The sequence below is a fragment of the Homo sapiens genome, chromosome 11, assembly GCF_000001405.40.
Source record: "Homo sapiens chromosome 11, GRCh38.p14 Primary Assembly".
In the NCBI taxonomy this organism is placed as follows: domain Eukaryota; kingdom Metazoa; phylum Chordata; class Mammalia; order Primates; family Hominidae; genus Homo; species Homo sapiens.
Genome location: NC_000011.10, coordinates 123,445,219 through 123,458,296, shown reverse-complemented (window position 1 = coordinate 123,458,296; position 13,078 = coordinate 123,445,219). Strand labels below are relative to the sequence as shown.

The window sequence follows — 13,078 nt, the reverse complement described above, 5'->3', positions numbered from 1 at the left end:
CTCTGAGTTCTAGGCCTTTGGCCTCAAACCGAGAGTTACAACATCAGCTTCTCTGGTTCTGAGGCCTGCAGACTTGGACTGAGCCACGCTACCAGCATCCCAGGGTCTCCGGTGTGTTGTGGGACTTCTCAGCCTCCATAATCATGTAAGCCAATTCCCCTAATCCCCTCCCCTCTCCTCTCTCTCTCTCTCAGAACTCCAACTAGGTTCTGTGTAGCATACATACGCACTTATCGTGGAGTCATGCATAAAGTGGTACTCATCTATTTAAAATATGTGGCAGCCAGGCATGGTGGCTTACGCCTGTAATCCCAACATTTTGGGAGGCCGAGGCAGGAGGATTCCTTGAGCCCAGGAGTTCAAGACCACCTTGGATAACATAGCAGGACCCTGTCTCTACAAAAAAGTGGAGAAATTAGCCAGGTGCGGTGGTGCATGCCTGTAGTCTCAGCTACTCAGAAGCTGAGGTAGGAGGATCACTTGAGCCCAGGAGGTCGTGGCTGCAGTAAGCGTGATTGCACCAGCGCACTCCAGCCCAGGCGATAGAGTGAGACCCCATCTCAAAAAACAAATACATAAAATAAAATATGTGGAAAATAGAGCACGGAGCACAGTGGAGCAATAGCACCAGAGCCAGGCTCATAAGGCTGGGTCCAGCACTGACTCTGTCATGGACTCCGTAGAACACAGAGCAAGTTGCCCCATTGTTCTGAACTTCAGTTTGCTTATCTGTAAAATGAACAGAGTGTGCTAGACAATCACATAGGCCCTGTCTAGCCTTAAAAGTCCCATGACGCTAAGCTAAGAAATCTTCCATTAAGCCTGTTTGAAGGCTAAGTGGAAGACACAAAGATTGAGAAAGAAGGGAGTTGCTGGCTATTCTAAAACACGTGAACTAAACCACGAGGGTAGGCTGACGCTGGCTGGACAGTGGGGAAAGAATAGCAGTCTAAGAACAAACGTGGTTTAGAGGCAGCTAACAGAGACACAGAAATGTGGCTTCCTGGTTCACTTCCTGTATGCTCATTTGATAAGTGTGTCCTTTAACTGTTACTCTCTTTCCAGGTTATCATTTTATAACAATCTCTAATTTTATTAATAAAATCATGAGCCGATACTTCACAGCAGGAAGGGATTCGAGGGATAAACTGTTCTAATTCTTTCTTTCTTTCTTTCTTTTTTTCTCAGAAAGGGTCTCTCTCTGTCACCCAGGTTAGAGTGCAGTGGTGCCATCACAGCTCACTGCAGCCTTGACCTCCTGGGCTTAAGCAATCCTCCCATCTCAGCCTCCCGAGTACCTGGGACCACAGGCATGAGGCATGTGCCACCACACCTAGTTCTTTCTTTCTTTTCTTTTTCTTTTTTTTTTTTTTTTTTGAGACAGAGTCTCCCTCTGTCGCCCAGGCTGGAGTACAGTGGCGCCATCTCAGCTCACAGCAACCTCTGCCTCCCAGGTTCAAGTGATTCTCCTGCCTCAGCCTCCACAGTAGCTGGGACTACAGGTGTGCACCACCACACCTGGCTAATTTTTGTATATTTAGTAGAGACGGAGTTTCATCATTTTGACCAGTCTGGTCTCAAACTCCTGACCTCAAGTGATCTGCCTGACTCAGCCTCCCAAAGTGCTGGAATTATAGGCGTGAGTCATTGCGCCTGGCCACACCTGGTTATTTTCTGTATTTTCTGTAGAGACGAGGTCTCATGACATTGCCCAGGCTGGTCTCAAATTCAGGGGCTCAAGTGATCTGCCTGCCTCAGCCTCCCAAAGTGCTGGGATTATAGGCATGCGCCACCACACTTGGCCCCAATTTTTTCTTTTTCAAACAGGAAACCAACAGCCCAAAGAAGGTAAATGACAAGTGTAAAGTCACAGAGGTATTTAGTAGCACTGCAAAGAATAAAACTCGAGTTTGCTGACTCTCGGGGCTCTTTCCACAACACCAATGCTGCCCTTAGAGAACAAGAATGTCAAACTCCTGGTGGGCAGAGAAGGCATCTGAAACTTTTTTCTTAACCCTCTGGTGCTTCTGCTGACAAGAAGGATAACTGTTAACAGTTGCTCATTCTATAAAATGGATATGCCATTGTTGAGTGTGTTGTTCTTTTTTGTTTTGTTTTGTTTTTGAGACAGTCTCTCTCTGTCGCCCAGGCTGGAGTACAGTGGTGCAATCTTGGCTCACTGCAACCTCCCTCCACCTCCCTGGTTCAAGCGATTCTCGTGCCTCAGGCTTCCGAGTAGCTGGGATTACAGGTGTGTGCCACCACACCCAGCTAATTTTTTGTATTTTTAGTAGAGACAGGATTTCACCATGTTGGTCAGGCTGGTCTCGAACTCCTGACCTCAAATGATCCGCCCACCTTGGCCTCCCAAAGTGCTGGGACTACAGGAGCGAGCCACCCCACCCGGCCTGGTTGAGTGTTTTCTATATGCCAGGCTGTTTTCTAACCACTGGGAACACAGTAATAAACAGATGGGGCAAAGGTCCCTGCTCTCAAGGACCTCAAATTCTTATGGTTTAGCAGAAGGGATGCAGAAATGAGAGACAGATCATCAACAGAGAAAAATAAAAGAAGATGATAATTTCAGAAGTACAAAGTGTTATAAAGACAATAAAGCTGAAGAATGTAGCCTCAAAAAAGCTAAAAAATATGTTAAGGGCAGAGAGTAAGTGGCAGAGCCTGGACAGAATCCATGCAGATCACTCCAGAGTCCGTGGCTTTGCAAACTATGCCGTATTGCATGGTGAGCGCAGCAGTTCGATAGCAAGTAGAGGATGAATGATCAATTGAGTGGAATGCATATCATCAGAAGGGGTTCCAGTGTAATTTTAATTTTGAAGGGAATTCACAAGCAGATTCTTGTAAAATCTGGCCAGGCGCGGTGGCTCATGCCTGTAATCCTAGCACACTGGGAGGCCGAGGAAGGCAGATCACTTGAGCCCAGGAGTTCGAGACTCCTTACTATGTTGCTAGGACAACATAGTAAGACCCTCGTTTTTATAAAATAAAAAATAAAAATAAATTCTAGTGAAATCTGTTTTGATTTTAGTTCATCCTAAGGAATCTCTACCTAGTCATAATAGACACAAAGATTATAGTTTAATCAAATATTTTTCCCTCTCATCTCTATATGTTGGGCAAAAAATAGACTTAAATGTTCAATTTCCTACTTCCCTAAATATTAAGTAGGGCTCTTATACATCTTACATGAAGTACATATTCAAACAATACTTGTCATTGATGTTGATGGGGATAAAACATCACAAAACTAGTAAAAGACTAAGTGCTCATAAAACATCCTTCAGATATAACAAGTTAAAGCATTTCTTTAAACATAAGAATTACATGCACCTAGTCCCACAAATACAGCCTCACTAAAGATGGAATAAGCATTTTAGGGGACATGTAAAACCAGTCCTATTCCCACATATGTCTCCTATCTCTCAGAGGCAATCTTTAAATCTTACCTTGGTTCTTCTTTACAACCTCAGACTTTTCTAAGAAAAGTTCTCACTCTGTATCTTCTCAGTAGCATCAAGAGCATCTTCTCCCCTAATTATAACCCACTGTCACTCATTTCAAATTTGGAAGACACTGCTGCCCTCTATTCACTTAGGGCCCTCCGCAGAGCCTGGTGGCAGTACTGCTTAAGCTGACATCAAAGTTTCATGAAGCCATTTTATAGGAAATTCAGCACAAGGCAAGATATGCAGAACATCCCCATGGCTAGTTACTCATCCCCTGCCCTTAACCATGAGAAGGGCAGATCAGGTTCCAAAAGTGCACCAGGAAATACTAACAGACAATAGAGCCTGCGTTGGCTGATCACGGCACTAACCACTCTCTAAACCGCTGTCTTTTCCAGGTCTGCCAACCCCAAATGACTCAGCAAAGGTGCCTGGCAATGACGAAAAAACAACGCAAGCCCTGGGGCCTGTCCTTCAGATCAGATAAGCTTGGCCCCAAATGACACCCATATGAAAACACCTCCTTCTCTTAAATTTAAAGGGGAGAGGGACAAAGGAAGTAACCAGGAAGTGAGTATCTACAGGATGTCAGGAAATTGGAGAGATGCCTTATCTTATTTCATCTGCAAACCAGTCTTCAAGGTAGGTATTATCATGATGACCAATGTGTGTAAGAGGAAGCTGATGATGCAAAGCTGCCTGCGGAAAGAACGCTTGTCCCAGTCTGGAATTTTACTCCATGGAAGCAGGATTGAAATTATTACCAGGATAAAAGTCACACTCAGCTGCTGGGAAAGTATTTACCCTGGCCTTGCTAGAGGTGGGGATAGGTGAGGAACAGTGTTGGCATGGGCCATTATCAACGGGATTTTACAAAGATACAGAGCCTTGGAAGAAATAGAAACACATTTCTGTTTCTTAGCTGTCCCTGATCACCCTCGAATTCACAATCAGTAGCGACCTGGGACTTCAGATGCTCCATTGCTCAGCCCTCTTTGGGTTTACTTTGTCCTCCCCTATAATAAAACAGGCAAGATCCAGAAATCTCCCTGAGGTGCATAGGTTTGAGTCCAATTGCTGGTATTAAAACAAGTATCATATGCAACAGGCAAATTAAAATTTCTTTCTGAAATTTGAGTCAGTATTCCAGGACCAAAAAGTACTTAGCCTGCCCTAAGGAATATCCAGGTTTAAAAAATACATACCTATATATTGCCAGGCACGGTGGCTCATGTCTGTAATCCCAGCACTTTGGGAGGCTGGGGCAGGAGGATTACTTGAGGTCAGGAGTTCAAGACCAGCCTGCCCAACATGGCGAAACCCCGTCTCTACTAAAAATACAAAAATTAGCTGTGTGTGGTGGCGCGTGCCTGTAATTTCTGCTACTTGGGAGGCTGAGGCATGAGAATTGCTTGAACCCAGGAGGCAGAGGGTGCAGTGAGCCAGGATTGCACCACTGCACTCCAGCCTAGATGACAGAGTGAGATTGTCTTAAAATAAAAAGATATATATACTTGCATATACATATATACTTATATTTAATATATATTGATGTGTATTAGATATATACATATATTTATTAGAAAACGTTTATGTTTCTGCATGTATATATTCCACTGTATTTTTCAATTTAAGCTGGATTAGAGGTTTGGAGTTATTTGCACACTGACAATTGTTTCTTCCTAACCTTCTAAGGATACTGTTGAACTGATCAAGACCATGAATATGAGTCATTTCCAAACTAGCCACCCAAAAAGGCCTTAAACTAGTCATTAATTAAGGTAAAATGCTCTAGAACTCTAGATTCTCCATGGTTATGAGGAACAAGGTCAGAAAAATGCACTGAAAGTAACACAAAATTATCTAAATATTGAATTCTTTACTTCAGTGGTGCCTGTGAAACACAAGACCGAACTTTCACTTCCCTACCCCTTCTTTCCTGGAGAAATGAAAGGGAAGCCTGGTGGTTCTACATCTGGCAAAAAGGGAGAAGAGAAGCAAAAGGCCTGGTTAGAAGAGAAGCAAAAGGCCATGGCCAGAATTCCCTAGTGAGCAAAGCCCCAGACATCTTTGCCTATTCTGTGAAATGAATGAAGTAGACCTAATATTGAGAGTAAATAGCTTCTGTTTTCCAAAGCAAAATGTCTATCCAACTCCACTTATTAAGGAAGGTCTTTTTTTTTTGAGACAGAGTCTCACTCTGTCACCCAGGCTGGAGTGCAGTGGCACCATCTTGGCTCACCGCAACCTCCACCTCCCAGGTTCAAGCAATTGTGCTGCCTCAGACTCCCGAGTAGCTGAAATTACAGGTACCCATCACCACGCCTGGCTAATTTTTGTATTTTTAGTAGAGACAGGGTTTCACCATGTTGGCCAGGCTGGTCTCGAACTCCTGACCTCAGGCGATCCACCTGCCTCGGCCTCCCAAAGTGCTGGGACTACAGGCATAAGCCACCATGCCTGGCCAAGGAAGGTCTTCTACCAGAAAAAATGTCCTTCACAAGATCTGGCTAATTGCCAGGATTACCAAATGTAACAGTTACTGCTGTCCTCTTCTTAGATGCACTTGTCACATTTTTATTATATGTTTTTCCTTTAAGCTCTGTTGGACTTGACTGTCACATTTTAAATTTTTACATTTGTTCACAATTACTTGCACTGACTGCCTAACGGATGGTCAAAAAAATCTGCTGTCGGACTGGGTGCAGTGGCTCCCATCTGTAATCCCAACATTTTAGGAGGCCAAGGAAAGAGAATTTCTTGAGGCTGGGAGTTCAAGACTAACCCGGAAAACATAGTGAGACCCTGTCTCTATAAAAATCTAAAAAATTAACTGGGCATGGTGGCACGTGCCTGTGGTCCCGGCTACTCAGGAGGTTGAGACAAAAGGATCACTTGAGCCCAGGATTTAGAGGCTGCAGTGAGCTATGATCATGCCACTGTACTCCAGCCTGGGCGAGAGAACACCACCATACATACATATATATATATAATCTGCTGTCAAACAAATGAATGAATAATAAATAAACTAGACTACATCTTTCAAGAGAAGAAGCCAGCCACACCTCAGTGGCCAGCACATAGCAGCCAAGCAACAAGTGCTGGCTGGCGGGATTTGGACTCTCCTCTCTCTGGCAGCCTGACTGTGTAATGTGTCCCTCCAAATGGGAAGGGGAGCAGGGGAGGTAAAATCCAGTCAAAGCTGTTCACAGAAGCTGCTGCTTTCAAACAGTGGAGCACACCGAAACTGCTAGTTAAAATGTTTGGTCTTTATGTTTCATTTCCTGTGGATTTGAATTACCCACACTGTCAGCATGTATCCATAAGCCTCAGTATAATGTCAGATACAACACACGTATGGTACAACAAAGAAAGGGCCCTAAATTAAAAGTGACATGACACAACCTCTTTTTGAGTCTGGTTTCTAGCATTACTTAGCTGTATGGATGTGGGCATATTTCAGAATCCCCATTTCCTTAAGTGCCAGGTGGGTCTACTCATTACATCTGCCCCACAGGATGCAGGAACAAATGAGGTAATAGATTGTCATGCCATACGCTTGTCACTGGACATCCTGGTGTGTGCCAGTGCTACAGCAATCACAAAGAATAATTATACCCTGTCCCTTCCGTGGGAGAGCCCATGGCCTGGTAAATTGTTTTGAAAAGGTAAAGTGCTACTCAAATTAAGAGATTGTGATAAATTGCTATTGTCTGCATCATTTTCATTTGTGTCCTTGTGAGTGCCATTCTCTGCCACCCTGATGGGACGCTCCCAACAGCAGGTATCAGTACCCCCTCTTTCCTCTCTACCTTCCTTCTTGGAGCCCAGTTTAAGGTACCGCACTCTGTGGTAGCTTAATAAATGGCATTCCCTGCCTGTTTTCCAGGCTTTCATTACACTGGATAATAAAGGGCCATTTCTGGCAGCTCTTTGGCTCTTGGCTTCTGTTAGTGCCAAGAGACTCCCACAAACACCAGAAGAGCAACAGCTTTGACATCTGACAGCTGCAGAGAGACCCAGCTTAATCCTGTCATCTCCCAAGGTCTTAGATGATGTCAGAGCACCAAATGCATCTGCATTCCAAAGTGCCCACACAAATCCAATGAAGTCCCACTATCAGTGGGAAGAGAGTCAGCTTCCCACATTTAGCCACCAGCTCCTCCCCGCTCCCATATCGCTCTTCAAAGCAGTATGGAAGACACTTCTTTTACAACTCTTGATTTCCAAATTTTAGAAAACAAACTAATTCCCTTTCAGTGATGTGGCCAAATAATTCGCTTTTAAACAAATAGGGACCAATATTGCACTGATAATTTGCTGACAGTCTCTCTACCCCACTAGAGAAGCCCCTGTAGGGCAGACTCTATTTTGTTCACTATTATTCCTGGTGTTAGGAACGGTATCTGGCATGTAGTGTATGTTCAATAAATGTTTGTTGGATTAGTTAGTTGGGGAAAAAAGGTGGAAGGATGCATATATTCCAAAATCCTCTTCCCCTGCAGGAGGAACAACTGTTGCCCTGACCTGGAATCAGAAGACGAGAAAAAGTATTGCATTACCATGGCAACCACAGCTCCAAAAATAAATGCTCTTCAAAACTGTTATGGGTCTTTGGTGGGGAAAAAAACCTAACTGCTGTTTGCAGACTATACCAGGGCCCTGGGTCCACCATCAAACAAAATATTGTTCCCAATGTGCTTGTGCTCTCTGGAACCTCATTTTGGGAAAGACTGATCACTCTCCACCTAACTATGCCAAGTTTGGCTCCCCTGAATAGAGACTACCTTTAGAACGGCAGTCTCTGGTTCAGGTGTGGTGACTCATGCCTGTAATCCCAACACATTGGGAGGCTGAGGCAGAAGGATCCCTTGAGCCTAGGAGTTCAAGACCAGCCTGGGCAACATAGCAGGATCCTGTCTCTACAAAAAGTAGAAAAATCTAGCCGAGCATAGTGGCACATGCCTGTAAACCCCAGCTACTCAGGAGGCTGAGGCAGGAGGATCACTTGAGCTTGGGAAGTTGAGGCTTCAGTGAGCCATGATTGTGCTACTGTGTTCCAACCTGAGTGCTGGGTGACAGAGTTAGACCCTGTCTCAAAAAAAAAAAAAAAAAGCCAGGCATGGTGGCATGCATCTGCAGACCCAGCTATTCAAGAGATCAGGATGTCAAGGCTGCAGTGAGTCAATATCTCACCAGCAATCTCCACCCTGGGTGATATATGAAAAAATAAAAATAAAAAGCAGTGTCTGCTCTCTGGGCACTTACTAAAGACTCAGAACCCAGTTAAAACCAGAACAGAAACCAACAGGTTAAAGACAGACAAACAAGCCAATACATAATAGTACAGATTTACATAAATGGCATATGAAGGGGTAATTATTCAGCTTCAAGAGGACTCCTTGCTTTGCAAAATGATTTATCGTAGAATTCCATGAAAATCGAATTTCCTTAGAGGCTTTCATCATTTGATTATTCATTCATTCCCTAAACACATGCTTACTGAGCTCCTACCATGTTCCATGCAAAGAGCTTAGCAGGCACTGAATAAAACAAACACTGAATAAAATAAACTCTGCCTTCAGTGTGTAGGATCTAATAAACGATACAATGCGAGCACGTTATCACACTCCAGTGCAGGATGCTTCAGAAACACAGACATAATGAAGACCTCAGTCAAGAACCATTCCCTAGAGGAAAGGCTAACTAAACAAACGAAAAGGCCTTACGGTGGCAAAGTAGGTCAGTGTTATGAAAAAGGAATTCTGTCTGACGGAACAACGTTGATGAAACCTGGAAATAAGAGAGCATCCCATTCATGGAACTAAAAGGTCAGACTGGCTGGAGGCAGAGCACACAAGAGCAGCAGGTGGATGAAGCAGGAGGGGAACAGAAGTGAGGTTATGAAGACCTTTCTGGCTGCAGAGAGAAGAAGCACAGGAGAGGGGCTGTGATGGAGTCAGGATGCTTGTGTAATACACGTGAGAGCCGGCTATGGTGATGGAGCTGAGAAGGCAGGCTTGAGGAACATTTGCTTGGAGGGAGAGAAGCCTCGTGAAAACAAAAAGTACCAAGCCCCAATGTAAGTAACAGAATGGAGGGAACTGGTTTGAAGGGAAAAATAATGAGTTCAATTACAAAAAGACAAGCTGAGTTTTGAAGAACATCGCAGTGGAACTGCCCATTAGTCAGGTGGAGGTATAAGCCTAAGGCCCAGGAAAAATATGAGGTCTCAGACAGGAATAATTAAAGCCAAGAGAATGGATGAAATCGCCCCAGGACAGTATATGGATTTAGAAGTAGAAAGTGGAGGCTGGGCATGCTGGCTCATGCCTGTAATCCCAGCACTTGGGAGGCCAAGGCGGGCGAATTGCTTGAGACCAAGCGTATGAGACCAGCCCGGCCAATATGGCGAAACCCCGTCTCTACCAAAAATACAAAAGTTAGCTGGGTGTGGTGGCACACACGAGAATCGCTTGAACCCAGGAGGCAAAGGTTGCAGTGAGCCGAGATTGGGCCACTGCACTCCAGCCTGGGCAACAGAGCAAGACTGCCTCAAAAAAAAATAATAAAAAAATAGTACAAGGGGGAGGGTGAGAAAGAGAGTGAGCGAGAGAAAGGGTAAAAGGAGGAAAAGGAGGAGAAATAAGAAGAAACCTGGGGCCAGGCTCTGTGGACCACACCTGGAAGCCCAATACTTTGGGAGGCCAAGGCAAGAGGATTGCTTGAGTCCAGCAGTTTGAGACCAGCCTAGGCAACATAGCAAGACCCTGTCTCTCTCTCTCTCTTTTTTTTTAAATACATATATAAAAGAAGAAACCTGGAGTCGGAATCTTAAGCAGGCCAACACTGAAGGGACATACAGATGAGAGCAGCCCTTAAACTATAAACACTAGGTTAAGATAACTATTGTGGGAGGTTAAAAAAAACAAACTAGGTTTACAGGCAGTTTTTCAGCACCCATCAATAGATCAGAAAAGCAACATCTCATAAATAACCAAAGAAGGAATAAATCACTCTTCCAGCCTCCACTAACCAGAGAAGCAGACTTGGAGGCCTCATAGATAGGCACAAATGTCTTTGCTTTTGTAAACTAATATATGCATTAGCATAACTCTTCAGACACATGTGCTTAATTTTGTCTAACAAGATGAAACAGAAATGTACACTCTCCATTTTATAATCTCACTGAGGCCCAGAGAGAGTGAGTAATCTGCCCAGGACCACACAGCGAGAAAATTAGCAGAACCAGAGCCTCCAACCCATGCTGCCTCAGCCTGTCTCTAGGACTGGTGCTGGGGCAGTCGTCCTAGGAAAAACTGTCACCCTGTCCCCACAGATGGAGGGGCCCAGCCTGAGCGTCATGACTCACTGCCTGAAGATACGGCTCCTTCCTGGATGAATATGGGCTCCCTGAGAAACACAGTAAACTGAACCCTTGTTCTGGTTGCCGGAGACCTGTATTCTAGATCCACCTCTGTCACTGACCAGCTTCATGGCCCTAGACTTCTCAGTTTTTCTGAAGGTGGAAATAATTTCACAAATCCCATCTACCAGGATGACTGGATTCTCTGAGAGACCCGTCTGTCTGACAGAAACAGGTGCTGACAGGTGGCAGCTGAGTGTGAGTGAAATAGGTGAAGATTTGGTAAAATCAAGGCCCTAAGCCCCTCTTCTCCTCTCCCACCCAGCAGATCCTGTCCTCAGATCAATTTTTTTTTCATGCTTTAGTCTGAATGCCATATGCCACTGAAATTAACTTTTACATAGTGATCTCCCACACACTCAATTGGGAGCTCCCCAATGGAAGGGACATCTGTAACCATCTTTTCTTGCCTTTCCTGCCTTTCTTGCCTCTCTTTCTCTTTCTCTCTTTCTCCCTTTCTTTTTCTTTCTTTCCTTTCTTTTCTTTTCTTTCTTTCTTCCGAGACAGGGTCTTACTCTGTCACCCAGGCTGGTCTCAAACTCCTGGGCTCAAGTTATCCTCCCACCTCAGCCTCCCAAGTAGCTGGGACTACACGCACACACCGCCATGCCCAGCTTGCATCCATTTTTGTATCCCAAGCACACAGCAACAGTGCCAGGTTCCCAGTAAGCGCACAATAAGTGTCTGATGAATCGTGAGAATTACCTCTCCTGAGTTATCTGCATTTTCAGTCGCATCTCTCTGGCAGTGAAGCAAAAGGCATTTTAAGAAGCAATCCAAGCATGGAGAAGGCACTTCAGAGAGAGAGAAATTTTCAGTGTTCTGAGAACTTTCTGAATGGGCAGGCGACTGTCCTCTCTGTTAACCTCTAAGACAGCCCTGCCTTCAAACATACATGGCTGACAATGGCTGAAAACTCCTCCAAGAAGTCTGCAGAGGGCTGGGCGTGGTGGCTCATGCCTCTAATCCCAGCAGTTTGGGAGGGCAAGGCGGGTGGATCACTCGAGGTCAGGAGTTCGAGATTAGCCTGGCCAACATGGTGAAACCCCATCTCTACTAAAAACACAAATATTAGCCGGGCGTGGTGGCACACACCTGTAATCCCAGCTACTCGGGAGGCTGAGGCGGGAGAATCTCTTGAACCTGGGAGGTGGAGGGTGTAGTGAGCCGAGATCATGCCACTGCACTCAAGTCTGGGCGACAAAGAGAGACTCCATCTAAAAAAAATAATAATAAAAGAAGTCTGCAGAGGCTCACAGACCCTACTAGAGAACCAGTGAGGTCCAAGTACAAAGCCTGGACCTTCCTCGGAATCTGGAAGCAACAGGCCAAGCTGAGCAACAGTGAGTCTTGGGAGAAATACTCTCAAAAACAAAGATCCACTAGGTATTCTTCCATCTTCACAAAACAAGAGAACATGAGTGTGGATTGTACTGTGGGGGATTTCAGTTAGATCTTAGGTAGAACTTTCCCAATAGTATGTCTTGAAAACATAAAAAGATATAACCAAGAAAGACAGTGCAACCAATCCTCTTTCCTGGGGTTGTTTTTGTTTGTTTGTCTTGTTTTTTTTTTTTTTTTTTTTGGAGACAAGTGTCACTCTGTTCCCCAGGCTGAAGTGCACTGGCACCATCTCAGCTCACTGCAACCTCTGCCTCCCAGGTTCAAGCAATTCAAATCCACCTCAGCCTCCCGAGTAGCTGAGACTACAGGCGCGTGCCACCATGCCTGTCTAATTTTTGTATTTTGTGGTAGAGAGGGGGTTTCACCATGTTGGCCAGGCTGGTCTCAAACTCCTGACCTCAAGTGACCTGCCCACCTTGGCCTCCCAAAGTTCTGGGATTACAAGGGTAAGCCACTGCGCCAGGCCCCAGAGTCTTTTTTTTAAAGTGATATTTTCTGATCAGGAAGATGTGGTTCATCGTAGACACTGGTGGAGAAAACACATGTTGTCACCTAAGTTAAGGGCAAACTCTTCCAGGAGAAGCTCCACCCTGTACAGAATGACCTTTACGGTTGCCATTCCATCCAACCCTGAAAATCAACAAAAAGGTCAAAAAGAGCTCCAAAGTGTAATGATCCAGCCAGAACACGAATGCTCTCTAGATTAAGGCAGATTGCTCTGAGGGGTCAGCCTGGCACTCACTGACATTCCTGCGGGCAAAAGAACACGACAAGGTTAAGT

At 44.9% G+C, this 13,078-nt stretch overlaps 1 protein-coding gene across 23 annotated transcripts in view; it reads right to left on the bottom strand.

Annotated features, from left to right (window-relative positions):
- The window catches only part of GRAMD1B (GRAM domain containing 1B), a 269,346-nt gene that overhangs the window by 169,471 nt on the left and 86,797 nt on the right, over positions 1-13,078 (bottom strand). For 4 of the 23 annotated variants that reach the window (XM_047427327.1, NM_001387034.1, XM_047427325.1 and 1 more), the window contains exon 1: positions 3,468-3,654. The exons of the other annotated variants lie outside the window; for them this stretch is intronic. The gene's annotated coding sequence lies outside the window, so the exon portion shown is untranslated. Of the gene's footprint in view, positions 1-3,467; positions 3,655-13,078 lie in introns of those variants that run through there. 23 annotated transcript variants of the gene reach the window in all.